Below are 26,677 nucleotides of genomic sequence, written 5' to 3'. Positions count from 1 at the left end.
CTTCTGCCAATCACTGAGTTTTGGCCAATCAAATGTGGTAAATTGTTTAAACCGTGTTCAAATGAGGGAAACACTGAGCTGTAACGAATCCGGCTGTTTCTGACTTCACTCCTATTTTCTGTATGTCACTTTCCTTTTCCTGTCCATAAATCTTCTTCCACCATGTGGCTGTGCTGGACTCTCTGAGCCTACTCTGGCTTGGGAGGCTGCCCAATTCATGAATCATTCTTTGCTCAATTAAACTCTTATTTAACTTGGTTGAAGTTTTCTTTTAACAAATCAGATTGCCCAGAAGGGTACCACAATGCATTTCTGACTCTCCGTACTTAGAATCAGGTCAAACTCCACAAGTAAAGGACACAGTCCTCGACAAGACTGCCTTCATTTAAGACACCAGCCACAAGCTTGAAAGTCCCCAGTCTACCCACACTTCTGACCAACTAGCTACAAACTCAGAGGTTCCTTCAGATTCAATAATTCACTGGAACAGCCTACAGAACTCAGGAAAGTGCTATACTTATGATTACAGCTTTATTACATAGGATTAAATCAGGACCAGCCAAGAGAAGAGACCAGACCCACAGTGTGAAGTATGGGACGGCTACAGACACAAGGTTTCCACATCCTCAGGATGTGCTACCTTCTTAGCACATAGATGTGCATCCCCAACCAGGAAAGTTCACCTGAGCGCCAATGTCCAGAATTTTTACTGGGATTTCACTATGGATTGAATGAATCATTGACCATGTGACTGAACTCAATCTCTAACCTGCCTCCACTCCCCAGAGGTCAAACTGACATCACTTCACTAAAAGCTCCAACCTCTTAATCACATGGTTGGTCTTTCTGGTGTGGCCAGCTCCCATCCTGAAACCATCTAGGGACCACCATTAGTCACCTCATTAGCATGAAGCCAGGTGTGTCTGAGATGCAAGCCATGAATAACAAACACATTCTTAACAGTCCAAAAATTCCAAGGGATTAGAGGCTCCCTCTCCAAAACAAGGAGCAAAGGCCAGCCAAATTCTTTATTACACAACAGGTGTTTTAGACACCTTGATTTCTATTAAAAATGCCCAGTTATGTTTTGGTCCATTTCAAATAATTTAATGTTTTCTCTATAATAAATACAGAAAACTGTACAAATCACAAATGAATAGTTTGAAGAATCTTCAAAAGTGAACACCACCATGTAACCAATACCCAGGTCAAGAAATGGAGTGTGATTAGCACCCCAGAAAAAAAATCCCTTCTGTCACTACTCCCCCAAGGGTAACCACTATTCTGACTGCTAACACCATAGATGCCTCTTGTCAGTTTTGCTAACTCCCTATAAATGTAATCATTCAGTAAATTTGTGTCTGGGCATCTTTTACTCAACATCCTCTCTGTGGGTGTAGTTATAACTTGTTCATTCGTATTGCTATATAGTTTCACATTGTGTGGAAGACGCACACTCTTCAAGTATAAAGTCAAGTTGGGGAATTGGATTTGGTCCAGCACCAGCTCTGTCCCCATTTTACAGAAGCCGAAACCACATTACCAAGCAGGCAATGTGATTGTTCAAGACAGAAACCTCATTTGGGCAGAGGCTGCTGTTATCTCAAGGACTATCAAAGCCCTCACAGTCAGGGGTCAAATCAGGGCAGCTTGGGATGGAACTGCCCATCCCAATTAGTAAGACAAAGGCTAGTAGTCAGAGGGGAGGGCAGCTGAGCAAAGATGGCAAGATGTGGGGGAAGAACAAAGGAGAAAAGCAAAGGATGGAAGATAGGAGAGAGAAAGAGCAAAGGGAAAGGAGGGGGAAGGAAAAGCAATAGAGTGAAAAAGAGAGACATAGAGAGACTTAAAGTGAGAAGGTGGGGCTGGGAAAAAGGGAAAGAGCAGAAGGGAGGGACAGGCTCAGATCAGAGATGAGGGCTCCTGACATCCCCAACACTCCACTCTGTGAGTGTGGGAGCTACCAGCCCCCTGGAACTCAACTCATTTCCCTGACTCCCCCATGGGGTCTGTCCTCTCTGCATCCATCCAGTAACTGGGGTCTGTCCTCTCTGCAACCATCCAGTAACTAGGTCACACCCACACCTGAGGGGGATCCTGGAGGTGATGTTCTTCTGCCTAGTCCACTGGGGAGCCAATACTGTGCAGAAGCTCAGTGCTGCCATCTGGGGTCTAATTGCCTCTCTGAAGGTAAAATGTGCTCTCTCTGCCAGAGTAGAAAGCCAGGGACAAAGCACCAGTGCTCACCTCTGACCCCTATGTAAATGTAGATGCCCAAACACTCTCTCAGACATGAGAAGAAGAATCAAACGAAGGAAGACACATCTACTGAGTGGCTACTATACGTTTACTGAGTGTCAGACACTGTGTTAGGGACTTCCCCTGAAAATTGAGCTTAAGATAGGTTGAGATGCTTGCTGGAGTAGAATAAGAATAAGGAGAGCTTGACTCGAGAGTTGTGTGAATCCAGGGCCCATTCGTATGCATGTGTGTGTATGAGGGTGCATAATTTTAGTATAGCATAGCATGCCTGGGTCTGGCTGGCTAAACCTCAATTCAGACTTCAATACTAACTAGCCAAGTGAACTTGGGAGAATCTATTGATCTCCCTGGATCTCAGGTTCTTTATCTATAATAGGAAGATAATAATAGTTCTTACCTCATGGAGTCGTTGTAAGGAAGACATGATAACATACAGGTAAAGTGCTTAAGAATGTTCTTGGCACACAGCAAGTCCTTACTTCGAGTTATCATTATTGCTATCTCCATTTTTATTATTATCTTAATTGCCATCAATATCTTTGGTACTACTACACAATATCAGCCTAGATAAATCTGGGGAGTCCCTCAGCACCCATCAGTCAGTGTGTAAAGCCATTCCTTGATACTCCCCAAAGCCCAGGCCAAGTGGAAACCAAACCCCAAGCAAAGGAGGCCCTGGGTAGGGGAGGCACCTGTGTGCAGCCCCACTTATTTCACTTGTTCTGTCTCTACTTCTCTTGAGCTTCACTACATAAATTGACCAAGGTAGCCACCCCAGGTCCAAGCTTCCTCTTGTCCCTTTAGTTCAGTTCAGCTTCTATAGCTAGCTGGTTCAATAATTATTCTCCAATTCATAATTGCTAAGAGAAGATCTAGATGACCCAATTTATCCCTTCCAGCTATGCTGGACAAGTCAATGTATTAGTTCGTTTTCACACTGCTGATACAGACATACCAGAGTCTGGGAAGAAAAAGAGACTTAATTGGACTTACGATTTCACATGGCTGAGGAGGCTTCAGAATCATGGTGGGAGGTGAAAGGCACTTCTTACATGGTGGCGGCAAGAGAAAAAATGAGGAAGAAGCAAAAGCGGAAACCCCTGATAAACCCATCAGGTCTCACGAGACTTATTCACTATCATGAGAATAGCACAGGAAAGACTGGCCCCCATGACTCAATTACCTCCCCCGGGCCCCTCCCACAACACGTGGGAATTCTGGGAGATACAATTGAAGTTGAGATTTTGGCAGAGACGCAGCCAAACCATGTTATTCTGCCCCTGGCCCCTCCAAATCTCATGTCCTCACATTTCAAAACCAATCATGCCTTCCCAACAATCCCCCAAAGTCTTAATTCATTTCAATATTAACCCAAAAGTCCACAGTCCAAAGTCTCATCTGAGACAAGTCCCTTCCACCTATGAGCCTGTAAAATCAAAAGCAAGCTAGTTACTTCCTAGCTACAAAGGGGAGGTACAGGTATTGAGTAAATACAGCCATTCCAAATGGGAGAAATTGGCCAAAACAAAGGGGTTACAGGGCCCATGCAAGTCTGAAATTCAGTAGGACAGTCAAATCGCAGAGCTCCAAAATGATCTCCTTTGACTCAAGGTCTCACATCCAGGTCATGCTGATGCAAGAGGAGGGTTCCCATGGTCTTGGGTAGCACTGCCCCTGTGGTTTTGCAGGGTACAGCCTCTCTTCTGGGTGCTTTCACAGGCTGGCATTGAGTGTCTGCAGCTTTTCCAGGTGCACGGTGCAAGCTACCATTCTAGAGTCTGGAACACAGTGGCCCTCTTCTCACAGCTCCACTAGGCAGTGCCCCAACAGGGACTCTGTGTGGGGGCTCCAACCCCACATTTCCCTGCTGCACTGCCCTAGCAGAGGTTCTCCTTGAGGGCCCCACCACTGCAGCAAACTTTTGCCAGGGCATCCAGGCATTTCCACACATCTTCTGAAATCTAGGCAGAGGTTCCCAAACCCCATTTCTTGATTTATTTGCACCCACAGGCTCAACACCATGTGGAAGCTGTCAAGGCTTGGGGCTTCCACCCTCTGAAGCCACAGCCTGAGCTCTACCTTGGCCCCTTTCAGCCATGGCTGGAGTGGCTGGAACACAGGACACCAAGTCCCTAGGCTGCACACAGCGTGGAGACCCTGGGCCCAGCCCACAAAACCACTTTTTCTTCCTGGACCTCCAGGCCTGCGATGGGAGGGGCTGCTGTGAAAGTCTCTGACATGGCCTGGAGACATTTTCCCCATGGTCTTGGGGATTAACATTAGGCTCCTTGCTACTTATGCAAATTTCTGTAGCCGGTTTGAATTTCTCCTCAAAAAATGGGTTTTTCTTTTCTACTACATTGTCAGGCTGCAAATTTTCTGAATTTTTATGCTGTTTCCATTTTAAAATGGAATGCTTTTAACAGTACCCAAGTCAACTTTTGAATGCTTTGCTGCTTAGAAATTTCTTCCGCCAGATACCCTAAATCATCTCTCTCAAGTTCGAAGTTCCACAAATCTCTAGGGCAGGGGCAAAATGCTGCCAGTCTCTTTGCTAAAACATAACAAGAGTCACCTTTGCTCCAGTTCCCAACAAGTTCCTCATCTCCATCTGAGACCCCCTCAGCCTGGACCTTAATGTTCATATCACTATCAGCATTTTTGTCAAAGCCATTCAACAAGTCTCTAGGAGGTTCCAAACTTTCCCACATTTTCCTGTCGTCTTCTGAGCCCTCCAAACTATTCCAACCTCTGCCTGTTACCCAGTTCCAAAGTTGCTTCCCCATTTTTGGGTATCTTTTCAGCAACAGCCCACTCTACTGGTACCAATTTACTGTATTAGCCTGTTTTCAGGCTGCTGATAAAGACATACCTGAGTCTGGGAAGGAAAAGAGGTTTAATTGGACTTAACAGTTCCACATGGCTGGGAAGTCCTCAGAATCATGGCGGGAGGCAGAAGGCTCTTCTTACGTGGTAGCAGCAAGAGATAAAATGAGGAAGAAGCAAAAGCAGAAACCCCTGATAACCCATCAGATCTCGTGAGACCTATTCACTATCATGAGAATGGCATGGGAAAGACCAGCCCCCATGATTCAATTACCTCTCCCTGGGTCCCTCCCACAACATGTGGGAATTCTGGGAGATACAATTCAAATTGAGATTTCAGTGGGGACACAGCCAAACCATATCACATAACTCACCAAGTTGTATATGAACTGCCTTTTAGTTCATGAATCTAGTGTGGGCCCAGTGGAGTCATTCTATGAGAGGAGAATACAGCAGGTATACAGAAAGAAGGAGAGGAGGCCTACTCCTGCAGAGCCCAAATGCACTTCAGTTCTTTTCTCAGTTTTCTACGTAGTCTATCTTTAGGTAGTTGATGCTGTTGGTACCAAGCCTTGATCTCCTCGCCCAGGCTGGTGCACCCATCACCTGGCTTCTGTGCGCGGGGCTAGCCTCCTTGCCTTAAGGTGGTGTCAATTCTATAAAGCTCTTTATACACCAGAGTTCCCTATGGGATCAGGCTGAAGCTCGTCTTCACCTAGAGACCACATCCTCTCTTAGCACCATCCCCTGCCCTGCCCCGCTTCCCTCAGCTCCTTTTCCCAAGAGTGTTTCCTCATTACATCATTTGCCCAAGAAACCCTGCCTCAGGCTCTGCTTCTAGGCAGCCTGAGCTAAGATACCTTATAATTTATCTTCTCACTTCAGCTGCTCTGACTGGATTTCTATCTCCTGCCAATCAGAGCTCTGGGGCACTTCTTTAACTAGTTAACGAACTGTAAGCTTTCTTTCCAAGTCATTATATGAAGGTGTCTCCTATACCATATGAATATGAATGGCTTTTAGTAATTTCTTTCAAGGTTGTACCAACATTTATTTAACTATTTGCCTCTTGTTAAACATATAGGCTCTGCAATTTTCTGTCACATGCAATACTGTGATAAAGACTTTCAAAGTTCAAAAAATATGTATATGTATGTAAATAGTCTCATTTAGCATGTTTGGTCAAGGCAAAATCTAAATCTCCCCTTTGCTCTCTCAAAGGGATGACTCCCCATAACCCCCACCCTCACTCCATGCCCCAACTCTTTCCCAAGTAGAGATGGAAACAAACATCACTGTATGGGGCCTGGGCCTCTGACCTGGTTTTGAGCATTGCGCTAGCATCGGCCAAGGTGTGACTGGTCTCACATGGTTCTTTGGGGGCGTCCCATTGGTACCCGTGACTGAGGTGCACAGCCACAGCCTCTGGTCATAAAGTCCCCAACATGGTAGGATCTTTGTTGTGATCCCAGACACCTCATGTCTGCAAGAGCTCTCAGCACGTGTGTCCCCGCTGCGGCATATAGGATCTCAGGTGCCACAGCAGTGTGGGGGCTGTCCTGGGCATGTCTCCCGAACTCTTCCCTTACCCAATTCTAATTTAACCTCTTTTCAGTGCCACATGCCTCCAGCATCTTGCTAAATTCAGGACTTTACAAAAGGGCCTGGGAAGTTCCCATGCAATGCTAAAATCCTTGAGAAATAAATTCTCCTGTTGAGTTTCCCTAGAAATGTTTGGGTGTTTCTAACCCACACTGGGTTTTCTATGTTCATGCTGGGTTTTTTTGTTCTAAATGGAATCTTCTCTTTGTTTTTCAGAGAAGCCTCATAGCTTACCCTTCATGGTGGAAAGTTCCAGGGGAGGAAATTGATAAAGAAATAAAACCATTAACTGCCCCCACCTTCGAAAGAAGAAATATGTTGGGAAACATTTTTAAAACATTAAATCTTGCTTTTTAATTGTCATTGTCATGATGATTATACTAACCATCACCATTTATTGACTACCTATTAAGTGTCTGCTCTTTACAAATATCTCAAGTCCTCTCCCAGGTTGAAGATTTTTATCCCCATTTTACAGAGGAGAAAAATGAGGTCCCACATGGTCAACCTGCTTGAAGTCAAGTCCGTGAGGGCAGTGCTGGAATCAAATCTAGCCTGTCTAACTCTAGAACTCCTTATCTACTTCTCCACATCTCATGGATTATTAGGACTTATTATTAATGTTTTTATTATGATATTTGAGAGGAAAATGTAGTCTTATCTCATGCACCCAAAGTGAAGGGTGGACCCCCAGGGAACACTTTCCCTGGCCACCAAATTCTGTTGCTTCTGTTCAGGTCACAGGAAGGGTGGACCCCCAGGGAAGGTTTTCCCTGACCACCAAATTCTGTTTCTTCTGTTCAGGTCACAGGAAGGGTGGACCCCCAGGGAAGGTTTTCCCTGGCCACCAAATTCTGTTTCTTCTGTTCAGGTCACAGGAAGGGTGGACCCCCAGGGAAGGCTTTCCCTGGCCACCAAATTCTGTTTCTTCTGTTCAGGTCATAGGACCTTCCTTTTCCCCACCGGGATTTCCTGGAAAGAGTAGGGGGATTACCTGGTCAAAGAGTTCCTTTTACCATTCATCCCAGCCCAGAGTCAGGGTGAACTTTAGTGTGAAATCCACTACTGGGATCAGTCTGACAAAATCCTTCAGAGACAACTATAGGGCAGATCCCTTTGGAAGAAAAGTGGAGGTCTTAAGGGAAGCAATCCTATGGGTTATTGACAGAGTAACAACTGTCATCCAGACTGGGACTTTCGAGAGTCGAAGGGGGAACTATTAGAAGTTGCACTGGGACAACCTGCATAAACTTGGACTGACCCAGGATAACCAGGACATATGACAACCTTGGTCATACAGACAGAGCCAATGAGAAACAAGGATAGAGCTCCCCCTGTAGCACGTTAAGTATCAGCAAAACATCCTACTACGGGACTTTTCCCCTTGCTATTAGCATTATTATTGCCCTTTAAATATGTCATAGTCAAAGATTTGTCTTATTCTTCAGTTTGATTGCCATTGATTCTTGAAGCCCACATCTTCTTCCCCAGGCAAACACATCTTCAGCCAAATGATAGAAGGAAATGGAAAAAAAAGACCCACAATTTATAGGCATTCATTTTACAGGCATCACTTCAGGGATACAGCTGGTCCCAAAGCAGCATTTCTCAAAGGGTGGTCCAGGAACCACCTGCATCAGAATCACCTGGGATCTAGTAAAAAATGCTAATTTCCATGTCCCAAGGAACACTTACCAAATCAGAATCTCTGGGGATGGACCTGGGAGATGTATATTTTTTAACAAGTCCCCTAGAGGTTCTTACGTGTACAGCCAGGCACACAAGAGGCCACCATACCAGGAAATCCAGGTAGCCTGCAGGTGATCATGCCCTGATTCTGCTCCCCGTACATCAGGCTGTGAGATCTCAGGTCTGAGATGCCTTGCCAAGGGCTGTGTCACCTCCTGCTCTCTCAGAATAAGATTCCTGGCAACACCCAGCCAGAGTGTCATGAAGATCCCCTAAATCCCCGGTGGATCTGTCAGCCCTGGTTTAACAGTATGCAGAGGCGGCTGGGTCTCGCAAGCAGTGGGCAGGTTCTTGGCTATGGCATCTGCCAGGAGAAGCTGGTAATAGGCCTGATTTATGACACTCAGCATGGGACCTGGCTGCTGAGCTCAATCACTGTGGCTCCCCACGGTGGGGTTCATGCGCTGTAACGGGCCTGGAAATTGGAGAGGAATTTACCTCCTGCTGCCGAACATTACATAACAATCAAGGGAAACAAGCAGAGGCAGGAGGGGGCCTCCTCAGCTGGCACTGGCAGCCTGGCACAGCAAAGGAGGTAGGACTGGGAGTTGTCTGCTTGGGTTCTCACGCCCTCGACAGCCTGTGCAAGCAGGTTCCAGGGTGGCCCCGTCAGAGCTGGCATCAGAGCCAGCCAAGATACAAGCATCAGCCCAGCAACTTTTAGAAGGGATGGCTGGGGAGACAGGCTCAGAGGAGGAAAAGGGCTGCCCTCTAAACTCCTGTCAGCCAGCCCAGTAGCTCTAATTCTAACAGCACTTACAGAACATGCACCAATTAATACCTTCCTGATTTGCAACTGGGAATAATTCAAATAGGACCTGAGATTGACATCTGCAACATGAGAGGCCATGGAACAAAATGAAGATGGGCAGGGAGAAGAGACCGAGATCAGCACAGGCCCATAGGTCATGGTGGGGAGCTTGGATATTCTTCCAAGTGCCCTGGACAGTTGCTGAAGGACCTTCTTTCATCTAGATCAGCCACCTCCCTAGAATTGCCCATAGGGTTAAGGAACATGTGACAGATGATTATGATAACTGAGTTCTGATGGACTCGCAAGGAACACAAGTTCTTATCTATTTATCAAAGCAGACCCAGGTAGGTGCATATTTTGGCAACTTTGAGATGAACTGACGCACTGTCTAACACTCATCAGCGGGTGATGAAACTTCCATTCTGACAAGGTGGCTGGGCCTCACAGACACTCTCCCACCCTAAATGAACCACAAAGACAAGATTCCAAGTACCACTCTTAGCTGCTGACTTCATGACCCACAAAATGTGCTGGCCTAGAAACCTACTAATTATTTTTCAGTAAAAGAACTTTATCTTCTGATTAAATATTACATAGAGGTCCAATGTATGAAATGCATTTATCACCATTGAAATTAATGATTCCTCTGTTGTCTGTCATCCTGACTAGACGCATACTCCTGTCCGCCTCCTTCACTAGCGTATTTCCAGTACTCAAAGAGTATCTGGCATGCAGTGGACACAGTAGCATTTGTGCAATCTGGAAAAGAATGGGATTAAATCAGATACACTTCTATTAAGGTATTAATATTAAGTGACACCAATTGTGTGCAAGCCAGGCCTTGCAATGAGTGCCCGGAGTATAATAGTAAACAAACTCATCACAGGCTTTCCTCTATTTTGCTCCTAGTGTAAGAGGAAATTAATATTAATAGATGCAAATTTGCAACTGAGGCGTGTGCTAGCAAATAGAGGTAACAGGACTATGAATATACAGAAGGGAAAACTGACCTGGTCAAAAGAAGGTCAGGGAAGGCTTCCTGAAGAAAGTGTTATTTAAGCTAGGACCTAAAGCACAAGTAATACTTAGCCGGATAATTGGGACAGGGAGGATGGAATTGCATTTCTGTCCAAGAGAACGGCATCTGCAAAGCCCTCAGTAGAAGGAATATGACCTCCTGATCCTGTGTTTCAATCATGGCATCTCTACCTCAGTCTGTTTTTACATATTGGACTTTCAGGGTCACATTCCTTTAGAAAAGAAGTGCTTGACAACTAAAATACAAATACTGGAAGTTGAGCTGACCAAATGACCTCAGAGGGCCCTATGAGCTCTTAAAATCTCTCTACATACAGACTCAAGAGAGCTTGGCAATGGCCTGTATGCCTAGGTCAAGGCAAGAGGTCAGGGGTCAAAGGTGACTGACCAGACCCACAAGACTGAATGGCGAGCTGTAGCTAATGAAAGAACAGTGTTAATTTGTTTCTTGTTTGCTTTTTTTCCTTACATTCTAGATGCACAGTAACTATTCTGGTTCTTTCTAAATGAGTTCGACGTCTTAAAGTGAATTCCTTTTGCCTTTACAACTTACAAAATGCAATCTGTTAAGCTCATTTCATACATTCATTCATCAAATAGTCACTGAAAATATATTTTAAGACATGTCCTCAGTTAGACATGCGATATGGAGGTAAATAAGACAGTGTCTCTGCCTTCATGAAGATCAAAATTGTACATACTTAACAGAGACCTAACGTGGCAATATTTAAGATTACATGTCTGCTACTGACCAAGTAATGTGCTGGACACTTCGACATACATTATCTCCTGCAACTTCCAACCCTGTTTCAGATTTGAAAATTGAGTTTCAGAGAGGTTAAGCATTATCCAAGGTCACACAGCAAGTAATTGGGAGAACCAGCATCCAAATCCAAGTCCATGTAACTCCAGAGCCTGTGTTCATGATCACCACAGGCTGATGCTTCAAATAAGGAGACAAATGAAGAAATCACAAAGAATTAAAAGAAATCATAGGTAAATGTTTACTGAATCTTGTTTTGAGAGGGACTGTCAAAGTATAACAGAAAAGGAAAAAAAATCCAAAAGGGGATAGCAATGACTACATAAAATTTCAAAACTTCTACTTATCAAAAATACCATATAAAACTTTGAAAGGTAATGAGAATGTGGCAAAAAAAAAAAAAAAACAAAAAACTGCAACATGTCTAATACACAAAACTGTAATAGCCCCACTATTAAAAGTTGTCATAAACTGGTACATAAAAAACAGATTTTGTCCAACAGAAATATGAAAAAATGATACAATTTTCAAAAGAGGAGAAATTGAAAATGGCCAATAGGCACACCCAAAATTATTATTAAAGTATTAGTAATAATAAAAAACAAATAATTTAAGAAATAGTGATTATCCCTTTTATACTGTGAAATTGCCAAGGGTTTAAAAAAATCAAAATAATTCTAGTGTTGATTGATGAATGTGCTGTGAAATCAACCTGAACATACACTGTATCAGTAAGTATCGAGTGAGCATTTGACAACATGAGTTAAGAACTTTAAAAAAGATTATAACCTTTAACTCAATCATTTTACTTTAGAAATTTATCAGAGAGGCAGACAAAGAAGCATACAGCAAGATGTTCACCATGGCATTATTTATAGTGTGGAGAAACTATAAATCAAGTTAAAGTCCAACAATTGATGCACAGTGAAATCAATTTTGGTGTATCCAGATGGTAATACGCAGCGAGTGAGAATCATATTTTTGAAGACTACTTAGTACCATGCTCCATCTGTTTATTTATCTATCTAGAAAGAAATATACCAAACGTACTATTGCAATGGCAAACTGTGGTTGTGGGATTAAATATGATTTTTATTTTCTTTATAATGCTTTTCTCCATTTTTTAATTTTCTGCAATTTATCTGCATCACATTTGCAATAACGTATATACATATATAAGTATTTCTTTTACTTTGTAAATAAGCATGTACCAAACTCAGCTCTGCTTTTTCTTTGCTCAAACCACTTCACCCCTTTCACTCCCTTTTGCAGTTGACAAAACCTCAGAGTCGCCTCCAACTGTTTGTTGTTTAATCTCTCTCCCCTACTATTTCTACAACTTCATTACTTCAACTTTGGGTTCTTGTTGCCTTGTGGCTAGACCATGGCAATATCCTATTAACTGATGCCCCCATTTCTAGCTTCCAACCCTGCCCTACTCCTGAACTCTCCTCAAATTCAGTTTACATTCTGCTGCCAGATTGATCCCCTCTAACAAAGATAGTAATAGTATCCTGTTACTGCCCTGCTCTAAAACAGGCAGTAGCTCTCTAGTTCCTAAGGATAAAATCCCAAAGTCCTTTACCTGGAGTGTGAAAGTAGGAGCTATGGAAGGAGGGGGAGATTTAGATTACAGCTGTCACAGTCTTGACTTTTTACATAAAGGTCTGAGGCTAAACTATAACCACCCGTAATTTTTTTTAAAAAGTATATTAAAGTACTTTGTTCCTGGACCTAATGTTCCCTTCCATCTGTATCAGCCACCAATGCTCCACCCAAACTACTTTTCTCCAAGCTTTTCATATGACCCCACCCAGCACATAGTAGGAGCTGAGTTGAGGGTACGGGTAGTACAGATGTTGTCAGACCTGGACACAAGCTAGCACCCCATGACCCTGGCCACACAGAGTCTCTCTTCCACTATAACTTTGTGATTCTTTCTTATTTAAAGGATGTGAAGGGGCTATGACCTGAAAAAAAAAAAAAAGAAATCAATGGCTCTCTGCTAATAAAGGTTCTTATGCGGTAAATGTGCTCTTGGGAAGCCAGATCCTGCCCTTCTCCACGGTTTTGGCCTGATGCCCTGGAGTGATTTACTCTGCGGTAACATGATGGAGCCTCCACCATGGAACGGAATTAAATAAAAATGCAATAAAAGAGGACAAAATCAATCTGCTTACAGTTTTGTTTAATAAAAATTCATGAAGGATGGGCAGGCAGGCCCATAAGCAATGTACCATCTCTGCCCAGGGGCTGGCTGGAGACATTCACTCAGGCTTCAGGCATGGGGCGGGGGCTCAGCTGAAAACCAGCTGAGTAAATCCCTTACTCTGCAAACTGCTGCAGGCTAGGGTCCTTCTGCCAGGCCAGAGAGCCAGTCCCATCTCATTGTAAGAAGGGAAAACCAGGTAAGGGTATGTTAATAGAAGAATTCTTGAAAGCCAAAGAAAGAAAAGAGACTTTTTAATGGGATTTATCTCCCTAGAAACCAAAAAGTTCCATGTGCTCTGGAACAATCTAAACCACCTCTCAGGCCTGATGATGTATTTCTTACAGTAGAAACTATTTCTGCCCTCAAGCCATTTATTTAAGTCTTGTGGTTCTAGGCAAAAGCTTCCCCATCTTTGGATGAAAGTACCCAAAGTCTTCCAATGATGTATAAAAGGGGTCAGCACACTCCTGCATGCAGGCCATATCTGACCTACCACCTGTTTTTAAATAAACCTTCGATGGCACACAGTCATGCATATTTATTTACATATCATCATGACTGCTTTTGTGCTACAGTGACAGAGTTGATTAGTTGTGACAGAGCCCTGCAAAGCCTAAATATTTACTATCTATCTTGCCCTTCATGAAAAAGGTTTACAGACCTTGGATCTATACCTTGAGGATTCTCACTCACCCACCACACTAACTCATTTGTCCATTTAACAAAAGCTTCCTAAATTCTTACATGCCAGGTGCTACCCTGAGACATCAGAGAGAGCAGAGAAGAATAAGATTTGAGTCCTTGCCTTCTAAAGGACTGTGTTGGTTTTCTATTTTTGCATAGCAAATTACCACAAGCTTAGTGGGTTAAAACAATGCCATTGATTATTTCACAGTTGTATAGGTCAAAATCCAGGTGGGCTCAGCTGGGATCTCTGCTCAGTGTCTCACAGACAGAAATTACAGTGCCGGCCAGGGTAAACTCTGACGCGCAAGCTCAGGGGAAGAATTTGATTCCAGCTTCAGCTTCGTTGTTGGAAAAATCCAGCTCCTTGCAGTTCTGGATCTGGATTCCAGGGTTTCTTGCTGACTGCCAGTCAGGGGCCACTCTGCCCATAGGGGACTCCACATTCCTGCTCACAGGCCCCTCCAGCTTAAAACCGACAATGGCACATTGACTCCTTCTCCTACTTTGAGTCTTTCTGGCTTCCCCTTATGCCAACTGCTGGAGAAGTTTCTCTACCTTTAAGGGCGCATGCGATTTCATTGACTCCACCTGGATATCCCAGGATAATCTCCCTATTTTAAGGTCAACTTGCCATAAAACATAACATAATCATGAGAATGATATTTCCTTGTATTTATCACAGGTTCTGGATATTAGAATGGGACCTTTCCAAAGTTCTGCCTACCATGGGGAGTAAGTAGTAGGTAGGCTAACTATTAACAGATGTAACAAACAGACCCCCCACATTTCAGTAGCCTAAAAGCAAGACTGATTTTATAATTATCACATAACTGTCCAGGGCAGAGGTTCCAAGTGGCTGAGATTCTGTCCTACGAGGTCCTTCAGGACCCCAGGCTGATAGTGACAATGTCATCTTCAACGAATGGCCTCCAAGCCTACTTTTTGCCATCTCAATCAGCCAAAAAGGGAAAAAACACAGAGGGGAATATATGAGAGGGGGTATATGGGAGATGGCACAAAGCATTTCTGCTCATATTCTATGGTAAATAAATAAGTCACACAATCACATCTAACTTCAAGGGAAAATAAAAAATAAAGTGTAGCTGAGTAACCATGTACCCAGCACATCTATTAAAATGAAGGAAAGAGACAATAGATTTTAATGGTCAGTAGCTGTCTCCTGTCCAGGTAAGAGCAAAGGAATGAATAGCTATGAATTGACATCTGATTACAGCTTTGGCCACTGAGGCCGTATGTGTTAATATGTTCTAATTTTCTACATAATATTTATTGCATTTTAAAATATCTAAGTAGGTTCTGCTTAAGAAATTAATTTTAAAAAGAAAATACATACTAAAATAGCTAGATACAAAAAAGTAGTGGATACCAAAAGAGAAGTACGAATGAGACATAAAATTATGAAAAGTAAAAGTAAACTTACTTGTACTTGAATAAATCAGGGAAATCATATTTATTAAGGGCTGTGTGTTTACTCTCCTATGGGCTCACTTAATGGCAGAGTCAGAATTTTACCCAGGTCTGACTGGCCTTATAGTCTAAGCTCTATACTCATAGGAACCTCCCAAATGAAAGGATTCAGGGAGAAGTTGGCATAATGCTCTAGAATATTGTTAAGTAGCAGAGGGACATGGTCCTTGCTGGGCAATAAAAAGATAAGTTTGGCAGGCAGCATGTTTTGGATGAATGGCATAGAAGCTGCCAATGGGAGGAAGCCCTCAGTGGGGCAAGTGTGTGAGCCAGGGAGGGGTTCAGTCCACAGGAGAGGAAAGGACACGGTGGGGAAATTCTGGAACTTACCGATCAGATTTTTAGAAGAAAATAGGGACAAGAAAGAAACACATTAATTTTCGAGTCTGGGTGAAACTTTTTAGCAGAAAGAGTGAGGCAGGAAGCTACTGCTAGTGAGAAGGAAGATATTGGGTTTAGTTGGAGGCAGGTCAGATTTTAGATACTCGCCGGGACTACATTTGAAAATGTCTCTAGGCAACTGATTATGCTGGAGGGTAGCTCCATAGAGCTCTCAGTTCCAAAGGGTCCTTCTTAGAAGCAAGAATTGGAATTTGGGAGCTATGTGCAGAGACGAAAGGGACAGCTTAGGTGAACAAGACAGATGGGAGAGATCAAAGAACATAGAAGAGCACCCTTGGGACATGTCAATAAAAGAGAAGAGAAGATGGAGACAGAGAGTGGGGAAGAGGCAGAAGAGTGGCATCTCACAGCAAGAGAGGTCATAGGACCCAGGGAAGATGGTACCCAGGTTCACCTGATTTTGGGAGCCAGAAAATAGTTACGACATCAAAGAAGAAAATTTCTGGAGAAGGGCAAGGATGTGAGATATGGACCAAATGTTAGAGATCACTGAGAAACATGAAAGTAAATACAAGACACTCAGAATTGTCTGACTTAGAAAGTACACATTTCTAACTTCACTACACCTAGCTAGAGCCCCATCCACGAACTGCCTAAGAACTTCCTTCTCCTGGAAGTTCTACTTCTTCATCTTTTAGTATCCGTCTTCTTTACATTTCTCAACTCTATTGCCAGTCTACAAAAGAGAACTTGAGCTGGGGCTTTATCCAACTTTGGGCCAGAAAAGATGAGAGTTGATGCACTGTTGGTATGGAGACAACAGAAATAAGTGTGAACCTCCAAGGGTGTTGGATGGAGGCACTTAGTCCAGCTGCCCTTCAGGCTTCCTCCAGGGAGAGTGATGAGTTTTAGTGACCTCCCATGCTGTGTGGGTATACGGGGTGTATATGGGGTGAGGGGTAGGAGATAGGGAACGAGAACCCAGACCATTGTCTGGGGCTGTAGGATAGCTAGTCCCTCCAGAGTGACCTGCCACAATTGTGGTACCTGGGACATAGACAGGGCCAACAAAGCAGGTCTAGGGGCCCCTGGAGCTGGACTTGGGTGGGCTCCCTCTCCCTCTACTTTGTCCAAAACTTGTGGTAGCAAATGTTGGAGTGGAGAACTGGTTCAGAGACAGGGAGAGACTTAACTTTGCTATAAAAAGTTCCCAGTCTGGGGGACAAAAGGGGAACAGAGGAGGAGACTCAAGTACCCCCTACCTACAAGAAGTCACCTTCTGGGAGAGAGAAGAATGTAGAAGAGGACAGGGTCCCATTAAAGCCCCAGGAACAATTAAGGCAGTGTTCCATGAAACCAACAGAAGACAAAACCTAGGACACCTGCCAAGGAGAAGGGAGGAGCCACTGGCCACCAAGAACAGGTGTGTAAGGGAGACAGCAAGTGCTCTCAGTGGAGAGCGGTGCTCCTGCAGGCCAAAATCTAGAGGTGGTGAAGTCCAAGGTAGCCTATGTTGGGAGGATGGGAATGAGGCCAGCTGGCCTTGGGAGAGTGGTCTGAGAGGGTCCCCAGGGAGAGAGGGAGGAAAGGAGAAGGAAGTAAAAGGCTAACTGTGTGGCACTGACTGGGGCAGGCTGAGGGCAACAGCCTTCTCTTCCTCCTCAGCCATACTCGGTGGTTGGTTTGACTTTTGCATCAAAATCCAGCTGATTTGTCTGTGGCAGGAGGACAGTGCTCTAGAGGAACCCGCACATTTAGGGGCTGTCAATCATTTGCTTTATTTTCTCCTGTGGTGGCTCAGGGTGGGACATCTCCTCCAGCCCATGGCATGCTGTCTTCATGACTTGACTCTGATTATCCTCTTTCTCCCCAGGCTTTGGCCTTCACCACCTGTTTTATGTAAGTGACTGCTGAGGCCTGAGGCCTGGCAAGGGTCCACACAGTAGGGGGACTCACCATGGTTGCTAGCTCAGCATTCCAGGAGCCACCCCCCACCGTCAGAGGACAGGTATGGTCGGCTCTTCCCCTGTCAAATGCACCCAGGCCTATCATACACTTTGCCTGGGCCTTGCATATGTGGGTGAAGGGTAAATGAGATGAAAACCCAGCCTACGCACCCCTCACCGGCAGCGCTGCATCCTCGCAGAAGAAAAGGCACCTTTGTCTAATCGGTCGAAGGTGCCAGGCGGACTCACTGCAGCCCTGGCTCCTCCCCTTCCCAAGCCCGAGCAGGAAGAAAGAATTTGTCAGGGCACCCCACTCCCCAGAGGTTCCCCAGCTGGGTCCTCCTCTCTTCCCTCTGTGCTCCCACAGGCTTAGCTGGTCCTTGTCAGAGGACAGCTGCGTTTTGGTCTCTTGGAGCAATGCTTCTCCCACCTTAGCGTGCCTCAGAGTGATATGGGGAACTTGCGAAAACACACATTCCTGGGGCCCAACCCCAGAATGTCTGATTCAATGGGCCTTAGGGTAGGCCCATTTGCTTTTTTTAACATGTTCCCAGATGATACCGATGGTGCTGGTCCAGGGATCCCAGGTAGAGAACGCTATCTTAGTTACACTCCCTGGCACAGCGAGAGGTTGAATCCTCCTCAGGCGCAGCCTCAGGGCTCTGCGCAGACTCAGTGTTCAATCAACACATATCGATTTTACCAAATGGAAGCAGTGAAGGGTGGATTGTTGATTGACTCTGGGATCCCATGAACAACTGGCTCCTTTACGTCCAGGCCTATTAAGTTAATAGGAAACTCAAGGGCGCAGGCAGCGTAGATGTGGAGGGGAGGCAAGGCTTGACATCTACAGCACTGAACTCCAGAGAATCTCCTTTCAAACTGCCAGAAATCATAAACATGATAATAGCAGCAACCACTTATTAATCCCCTGCCCTGTGCCAGGCCCTGTGCTGAGCTCTTCTTTGTGCAACCAACACAACAGGGCTACCAAGTCGGGACTGTGTGAATCCCTATTTTACACATAAAGACTCCAACAGACAAGCAGATCTCAACCCAATGCCTCATGAAGCACCAGGCATCAGGCCATATTCATTTGTCTTCAGAGCCTGCAAGCTTCATCATCACACTGAGCACACTGAGCCCTCTCCAGAGAGACAGAGAAACTTGGAGGTCGGAAGTAGCTACGCTTTAGAGAATGGCAGTATCTGCCTAGGAAGAGAATTGAGTCAGTGGAATAAACAGTCTGATTCCTAAACTGTGGTGTAGCACTGACCAGGTGCATGAACTTGGGCCTCCTTCAGCACCTTTGCCCTCTGAACTGTGAAATGGGAATAATAATTCCTAACTGTTGGGATGTTGTTGGATTAAATGAGAACATAAACCGAAATGCCTGATACAGTACCTGACCCTTAGGAGTGGTCCAATAAGGACCCCCTTAAAGCAGGCTCCTTTCTCTTCCTGTAAATATTTTGGAGTGACAACTCAGAGCCAAATTTAGCAATTTTTCCTGACAACCTTGGGGCTGGGGAGGAGGAGAGGATGGAGAGGCAGATACGGCAACCTACCATGCTGCAGGGCAAACAAGTTGCTGCAGTCCAAACAAGTCCTAGATCAGCAGAAGCAGGCAAGAACCTGGCTTTATAAGAACTCACAGGCCCCACAATCACATGCCAAATCCACTCAGAGGACCCAGTGTCAGGAACCGTGTCAGTGGAAAGGGGTGGGGTGGCTGTCCCTGAAATCCCTATTCAGGGAGTGGCCATGTCTCCTTTGCACACCCAAGGACAGAAGCTGTACCTAGAAGAGGCCACACTAAGCTCAGCAACTCAATTTGCTAAGGACCTCACCCTCCAGAATCCTGTAGCCTGGGTCTCCTTAGACCACCCAGAGGAAAAGGACTTGGGAGGCCCCATGTAGCCTAACAGGCAAGCCAACACAGTAGAGGCTGGTGGGAGACGCTGCTAGGTCTAGAATCACAGTCTAGCACTCACTAGCAATAACCTTCACTTCTGTGAAGGAACAGCAAAAATGGTACCTAACTTCAAGATTGCTGTAGGATGCACATTGAGCCTTTAGCAGAAGTGCTTATCACAGAGCAAGCTCTTATAAAATTAGCTCCTATTATCCTTGTTATCCTTGTTGTTATTGTTGTGTCCACACCTGTGAGGACATAGATAAGATTAAAAAATAACTGAGTCTTAGTTTTCTCACTTATACAATGAATATGTTAATAGAACATATCCCCATAACATTGTCACAACATTTAAATAATGTATGTCAAGCACCTAGCACACAGTAAGCACTCAATAAATGTTAAACATGATTTCTAGCTGGAGGCACAGATGACACCACAGTTAGGATGATCAGCTGTTCTGATTTGCCAGGGACTTTCCAGTTTTAGCCCTGAAAAGTTCCATGTCCTGGAAACCCCTCAGTCCCAGGCAAACCAGAACAGTTGGTCACCCTGCAACAGCCCAGCTGGCTGGGGCCTTCCCTGCTCCCCCAGGCAGTGCAGGGAACATTTCTGGCCCACATCAACTTGCCCCTGGAAGCTAAGCCAGGCACTGGGCTGCCCTCAGGGTATACGTGGCCCCAGGATTCCAGAGCCAGTGTTCTCAGGACGAAGTGTTCCAGCAAGGCTCAGAGAAGCTCAGAGACAGAATCCACGCCCACATCCAGGATCCTGGAATGAGAGCTCCTCGACAGGACGCAGACAGGCAGAGCCCAGGGAAAATGGAAATTGTCTCTGAGGGTCCTGCTGGACTCAGAGAAGGGAGAGAACCGTGTTCCCCCACGATGAATAATGCAGGGAGAGGAAGCAAGGGGCAGAGTAGTTGCCATTGGGCCCCCAGTTCCTCACCAGCCAGGCTGCTGCTGAGCAGGAAGCCTCCCGGCTGAGCCTGGGAAGCAGTTATCACTGGTGGGTGATTAAGTTACTAATCCTTCAGAGAGAAGACATTTAGAGGCCCATATTAAAGCAGTGCGAAGCAAAATCACATTCCGTTTCAATTTAGTTTAGCAATTCCCATGATTTAGTTAAATGAAAAGCAATTGTTCCAATTAATAGTATTGAATGTTATTCATCAAAAGTGTCAAAACAGCTCTGTGGCTGCATTAGTAACCCATTCTCTTGTCAGAGATATGGATAATTCCCCAGGACAGAATGGGGAAATGGTAGGGTTCGGGGGTTTTGGTGAAAGGTCAAAGTCAGAGGGAGTATTTACATGCACATGTGTAGGCTCATGTACATGCAACCTGTGTGCATGGATAGGTGCATATGTGAGCACATGTATCTTATATGCATACAGATCCAAACTGTACCCAAGTGTATATATTTGTATGAAGTTAAAGTGCATATGCCAATGTGCCTGAGTAGCTGTGCACAGGTGTGTGTGTGTGTGTGTGCACCTGTGTGTTCCTGGTGCACATATACAAGTATGTATATGTGCACATGTATGTATATGTGCAAATATGTGTAAGTGCCTTGTGTGCCTATACGTACATGTGTGCATATGTGAATTTATGTCCATGCACATGCACGTATTTAGATAGTTATACATTCGGGTATGGTGGTATGTGTACACAAATTATCCTGAAGACATGTTGCTATCCAAGGGGATGCAATGTGAGCATACACAGGTATGCATATTTTGGGGTGCCTTCATACATATTGTAAATATATCTGTATGTATCAGGGCAAGAGGTGTAGGGAGTTTGCTGCCTCGATGGATTAAGAGCTGAGCCATCAATTTCCATCCTTATGTCATAGTGAGTGATTTGGCTTGTCACTGGGACATTGCCATTCAAATTTAGCTCTTATGATCCAGAAACTTTTTCTGTCATGTGAACTGCTGCATTCTCAGGACCCAAAAGAGAGCCTGGCACAGAGGAAGTTTCAATGACATATACTGATAGAATAGATTAATGGATGGATGGAAAATAGATGGATTGATAAATGGATGAATGGGGAAGGATGGGCAGATGGATGGAAAAGGATGGAGGGATACATGGCAGGGTAGATAAATGAGTAGCTGGGTAGGTGGGTGGCTGGGTGGGTGAGTTGATGGAAGGATGGATGGATGAGGGGCTAGATGGATGGAGGGGATGGATGGATGGGAGAATGGCTGAATAGAATAAATGGTTTGCCATAGGTCACTGGGTCTATCAGGCCTCCCAGTAGTGGGTGCATCCCAGTCTTTTTCCCTCAGGGTAAATCCTAAGCTTCTCTGGCTTTCAGACAGCTCAGCTGAACCTCAGACAGCTTCATCCGGGGCAGGCAGCAGGCTCAGAGGGCTCACAAGCTGCCAGAATCAACCAAGGCAAAATACTGCAGAGTCAAGAGCAGGAAGGGCAGGGACTGCTTTGGAGTAGCTGACAAATCTCAGCTTTGCTAGGCTAACAGGAAGCTGGCCTGGCCAGGCAGGCCCAGGAGGATACAAACCAAAAAGGCCCCTTCAGGGGCTTGTATACCCCAAGCCAGGGTTCCTGCATCTGGCTTTTGTGCTGGGGCTGCAGCTGCCAGCTCCTGACCCTATCCCCAGGCCTGTCCTTCTCTGTCACTGTTCTTCCTGCTCCTTGCATCTTCCACAGCAGGGGGAAGCCACGTGCCCATCCCCATCCAGACGCAGATGCGGCTCATCACAGTTCCATCACCCCAGACTAGGATGATACAGGGAATCTACGGATAGCTTCCCATCACTGCTGTCCTTGCTTCCCAGACTCCCCTGGGTGTTGGTTCTCTCTGGAGCTGACCAGACCCTGGAGGGGGCCCCAAGACCCCAAGCGGGTCAGTTTTTGTGGCTGTCAGTCCTCCCACCATCCTTTTGAGCATTGACAGGGTTTTGCCTGGCCCACCTGCTGTCGGGGCCTGCCCCCTAGTGGCTGACTCTGCCCCATACACTGCCCTACCCCAGGGCACCAGCTCTGAGCCTGGTGGCCCCCTCAGCCAGCCTCAGCCAAGAAAGGAGCGCTGAGTCTTTGCAAAAGCTCCACCATGGCCCCATTTCTCCCTTTTCAGCCATGGACACGGTGGGGCCAGATCTCTCCACACGCACACAGTACTGGCTTCCCTGAGTCTGCATTGCCCCCAGTCTGTCTGCAAGTGTCCATCCATCCGGATGGTGATTAAGCACGAACAGGAAGAGTTAGGATGTGATCCCTGAACCCAGGAGGCTCATAAAGACAATAGCTGGGACAATAGCAAGAGGCACTGGGCGTCCTGTCTATTTTGGGGAGGCCCCAAGCATGGCTGGCCAAAACCAAGGGCATCCTGAGGCTCATTAATCTGTGTGGGAGTTATGAAGACAGGATAGAGGGTCCAGGAGGCCTTCCGCCAGTCGTTTCCTCCCAGCCCACCGGCTCTGCTCCATACTCCACACGCGGAGCCCCTGGCCCCAGCCTCCAGAGACCCAGCCTTGCCAGCTCTCTGCGGTAGACCCAGCTCCCTTCCTCTCCTTTCAAAGACTTGTACTGAGAGATTAGAGGCCCTGGCCTTTCTGGGATCCACTCTTTGTTTTCTCCCTGAGGGAGGCAAAGGAAGAAGTAAAACACTATCAGCCTCATCCAGGCTGAGGCAATGGAGAAACTGCCTTGAAATATCCTTCTGGTGCTCTGTTCCCACGGCCTGGCCTCCTTGGAGCCCAGGAGTAGCAAAAGGTTAATTGCTAGGGTGTTGGGCCCAAGCAGTCGGCTGGAGGAGCCAGAAAGCCAACTGTTAAATATGCAGTTGTTACATATGCCTCTCTCCTTTCCCTTCTCCCTCTATCCTTCTCTCCCAATCACTAAACGGTTGCTAGCTTGAAATCAGACATGATGTAAGCAAATGCCTCTCTCTCTTCCCTTCTCCCTCTATCCTTCTCTCCCAATTGCTAAACAGTTGCTAGCTTGAAATCAGACATAGTGTAAGTATTTACACCACAGAAACTGGCAAACACTGTAAAACAAACCAGTACCATCAAGGCAGTCGTGAAGCCCCACTTTCCTGGTCCCAGGATGAAAGTCAGACACCCAATTGACTTGGTTGGAAACCATCACTTGTGACAGTTTTAGGGCCACAGAGGCTGGAGTACACACCAGCATATTGTTCCCAGCACCCTAACCTTATTCCACCTGCCCTTGCAGTCTCTGACCCTGGATGGTACTAGGACATGAGATCAGTCTGAAGAGTCAGGAGACCTGGATTCTACCGCAGATGCTGCCCCTGTCACTTTACCTCACTGATTCTTTATTTTTCAACAGGAAAATGGAGCAGTAATAACCCACTGTAGGACTCAAACTTCATTGGGTTGTTGTGAGAATTGAATAGACTATTGCACGTGAAGCACTTAGCACATTGAGAGTATTGTGGGACCTGGTTGATAGTAACTATTCGATAAAAGTCAGCTGTTGTCACCATTATTGTTATTAACATTACTTTCCTCATGAGTGTTTTAAGGCTAAAATAAAATAATAGCTATAAAAACATCTGCATGATTTTTTGTCTTTAAAATGTTTCCAGTAATGTAAACCAAAAGTGGCCTGGATGTCTCCTTCAACTTTTCCTATGCCCAGGTTCATCTAAGCACAATGCTTGGCCAATGAATGGCAGGTGACCAACCATACAGCTTAGACATTTTAGGAACTATGACATTTCTAACACGATAAAGGAGTCCTGGTCCTTTGCTTGTTCACCTAGGGTATATATCTTATTGTAAATTGTTGCGAACCTAATTTTTGGAGCTGAGGTGTGGTATCTACTCAAATCCTCAGAGAAACGATGGCTTTACCAGCACCTTCTCTGGAGTCATGTCAAAAGCGAACCACAAGGTCAGAAAAGCTGAGTCATGTTTTCCCCAGGAAAGACCACCTCTGACCCTTGGGTGAATGGAGCATCTCATCATTGCTCTTCAACCATGCAGAAACACCTCATGCAAGTTCAGAGGCACCAAAGACTATCACCAGCTCTGTCCTTGTCTCATATCTGCTCCAGCAGACCCTGTGTTTGGGGGACCCAGCAGGGTAGAGGGTGGTGAGCTAAGGAGAAGAGATTAAATAATGCAAGAGATTCTCCTGGGTTCAAACCCATGTTTGTGCAGCCGTGAGCAAATGCTTTCATTTCGTTGAGCCTCAGTTTTCTTATCTGTAATATAAGGATAATTATTCTGACCTCAAAATGCTATAGAGTAAGTCCATGTGGCAATGTAGATGAGAAATCCTGGTACACAATTACTACTCAGAAGCTGCTTGTTTTCAGTCTACCTTATCACTATGCAGAGTTTTTTGTGTAAGGGCCCAAAAATAATGGTACTAGCTACAGTTATTTACTGCTTATTGCCCCAGCAGAGGCCTGGTCCCAAGGCGGCAAAAGTTCACCTCTCAGCTACTCATTTAGGCCTATTGCTGTGGTACACATAGGACCTTTATTTTAGGGATCATTCATAAATCCAGCTTTCCAGCAGGGTAACAGATAGGTAACATTAGCTAACAGTAGCTGATCCACACAAGAACAAGATGCTTTGAACAAGAAGACGAAGACTCCAAAACCTCAAATCTTTGGACAAGACCAAAATCATAAAAAGCTTTACATCATCAGTACTTGAGGAGAAAGAGACCAATTGAAGCCCCAATTCCTCCCAGATTTATGTATCTGTTTGAACATGTGTGCATGTAGGCCTGTGACCTGTGTGTATACACATGTATGTGCATGGGCACAGTTATAAATGCAAGTTTGCACCTGTGGCTTCTTATGAAAGTACATGTTCTGTGTACTTCCTGGGCATGTGTATATACAAGGGAACAGGTACATGTACATGTGTGTACACATGCATGTGCATTTTTATGTGTAGACCTGAGTGTTTGTGTATCTGTGCTGGTGCATGCAAGTGTGGGGTTACATTTACAAATGAGTGAAATGGTAGCTGCGTGTTCCTATGTGTGCCTCTCTGGCTGCAGACAATGTACAGATGGCTGCAGGCGAATGAATGTGTCAGTGTGTACATATGCACGTGGGTGCATTTTTAAGAACAGATAGTACAAATAAACAGCATAAACAAGATGGTTGGGAGGAGGTGGGGTTTTAAATACTTAGGAAGACAAACAACCCCATAAGGACTTTGGAAGCACTCATTATGTACAAATAATGTATATGCTAATTACAAATTACTCTTTTCTGCTCATTAAAGCAGAACTGCTGCACTTTATTAGTTCAGTTCTGGTTACTCTACACACTTGAAAGTAATAAAAATGACTCTGGGGTCAGGAAGACACATGCATAGGGCAAAGGGAGCCACTCAGGCAATGTGAATGGTCACTCAGGCCAGGGGCCAGGGCATTGAGGACTCCTCCCTGTCCCTCCCACTGCCATGTTCAGTCGGTCACCAAATTCAGTCAAACCTACCTCCTTTCCTTCATCTCCAGTAACACTGAGCTGATTCAGGCCCCATACCTCTTCCCTGACACCTCCTGGACAGCTGCACACACTGCCTCCCACTAGTCTCCCTAGCTTAAGTCTCCCCGCTTCCAGTTTATCCCCCAAGATGCTACTGGCAAATCCACTCACTTAAAATCGCCCTCTGCTTTCCCATCACCACTGGATAAAGCTCCAACCCCATAGCTTGTCCAACCATGACCCGGCTCCTAAACACCTCTGTGGCCTCATCTCCCTGCACTTCACAACCGACAACATTCAGTGACTCCCAGACAGTTTCCTGAGTCCCTCCTTCCTGTGGTTGAGACTTCTGGGTCTGGGCACACATTTTTCCCCAATCCCTAAAGTCCTCTCTTTACTATTCCTGCTCCACTGGCTGGATTGCAAGGTGGGCTCCTATTTCATATGGCAAAACTCTGCTCTGGGAAACCATCCCCTAGTGTGTCTACCATATCACTAATTCCTCCACTTGCCTTACTCTGTCCTTTGCATCCAAGCATTTTGTTTCCTTATTGCCTATCTTCCTCCCCCACTAGACTGCAAGCAGGGGTCTTGCTTTATTGACTGCTAATTGCATGCCCAGCACCTACAACAGTTGCTA

At 45.4% G+C, this 26,677-nt stretch overlaps 5 annotated features.

Moving 5' to 3' along the window:
• Positions 644-1,183: an enhancer, noted in NCBI's record as "OCT4-NANOG hESC enhancer chr20:37919138-37919677 (GRCh37/hg19 assembly coordinates)". NCBI's record gives its function as "activates a minimal SCP1, AML or CMV promoter by ChIP-STARR-seq in naive H9 embryonic stem cells {active_cell/tissue: H9 hESC(naive)}" and the evidence as "EXISTENCE:reporter gene assay evidence [ECO:0000049][PMID:30033119]".
• Positions 1,340-1,918: an enhancer, noted in NCBI's record as "OCT4-NANOG hESC enhancer chr20:37918403-37918981 (GRCh37/hg19 assembly coordinates)". NCBI's record gives its function as "activates a minimal SCP1, AML or CMV promoter by ChIP-STARR-seq in primed H9 embryonic stem cells {active_cell/tissue: H9 hESC(primed)}" and the evidence as "EXISTENCE:reporter gene assay evidence [ECO:0000049][PMID:30033119]".
• Positions 8,136-8,812: an enhancer, noted in NCBI's record as "OCT4-NANOG-H3K4me1 hESC enhancer chr20:37911509-37912185 (GRCh37/hg19 assembly coordinates)". NCBI's record gives its function as "activates a minimal SCP1, AML or CMV promoter by ChIP-STARR-seq in naive and primed H9 embryonic stem cells {active_cell/tissue: H9 hESC(naive and primed)}" and the evidence as "EXISTENCE:reporter gene assay evidence [ECO:0000049][PMID:30033119]".
• Positions 8,813-9,491: an enhancer, noted in NCBI's record as "OCT4-NANOG-H3K4me1 hESC enhancer chr20:37910830-37911508 (GRCh37/hg19 assembly coordinates)". NCBI's record gives its function as "activates a minimal SCP1, AML or CMV promoter by ChIP-STARR-seq in naive and primed H9 embryonic stem cells {active_cell/tissue: H9 hESC(naive and primed)}" and the evidence as "EXISTENCE:reporter gene assay evidence [ECO:0000049][PMID:30033119]".
• Positions 21,798-22,298: an enhancer, noted in NCBI's record as "H3K4me1 hESC enhancer chr20:37898023-37898523 (GRCh37/hg19 assembly coordinates)". NCBI's record gives its function as "activates a minimal SCP1, AML or CMV promoter by ChIP-STARR-seq in naive H9 embryonic stem cells {active_cell/tissue: H9 hESC(naive)}" and the evidence as "EXISTENCE:reporter gene assay evidence [ECO:0000049][PMID:30033119]".

Source organism: Homo sapiens, chromosome 20 (genome assembly GCF_000001405.40).
Source record: "Homo sapiens chromosome 20, GRCh38.p14 Primary Assembly".
NCBI lineage: Eukaryota > Metazoa > Chordata > Mammalia > Primates > Hominidae > Homo > Homo sapiens.
This window is presented reverse-complemented; position numbering and strand designations above follow the sequence as displayed.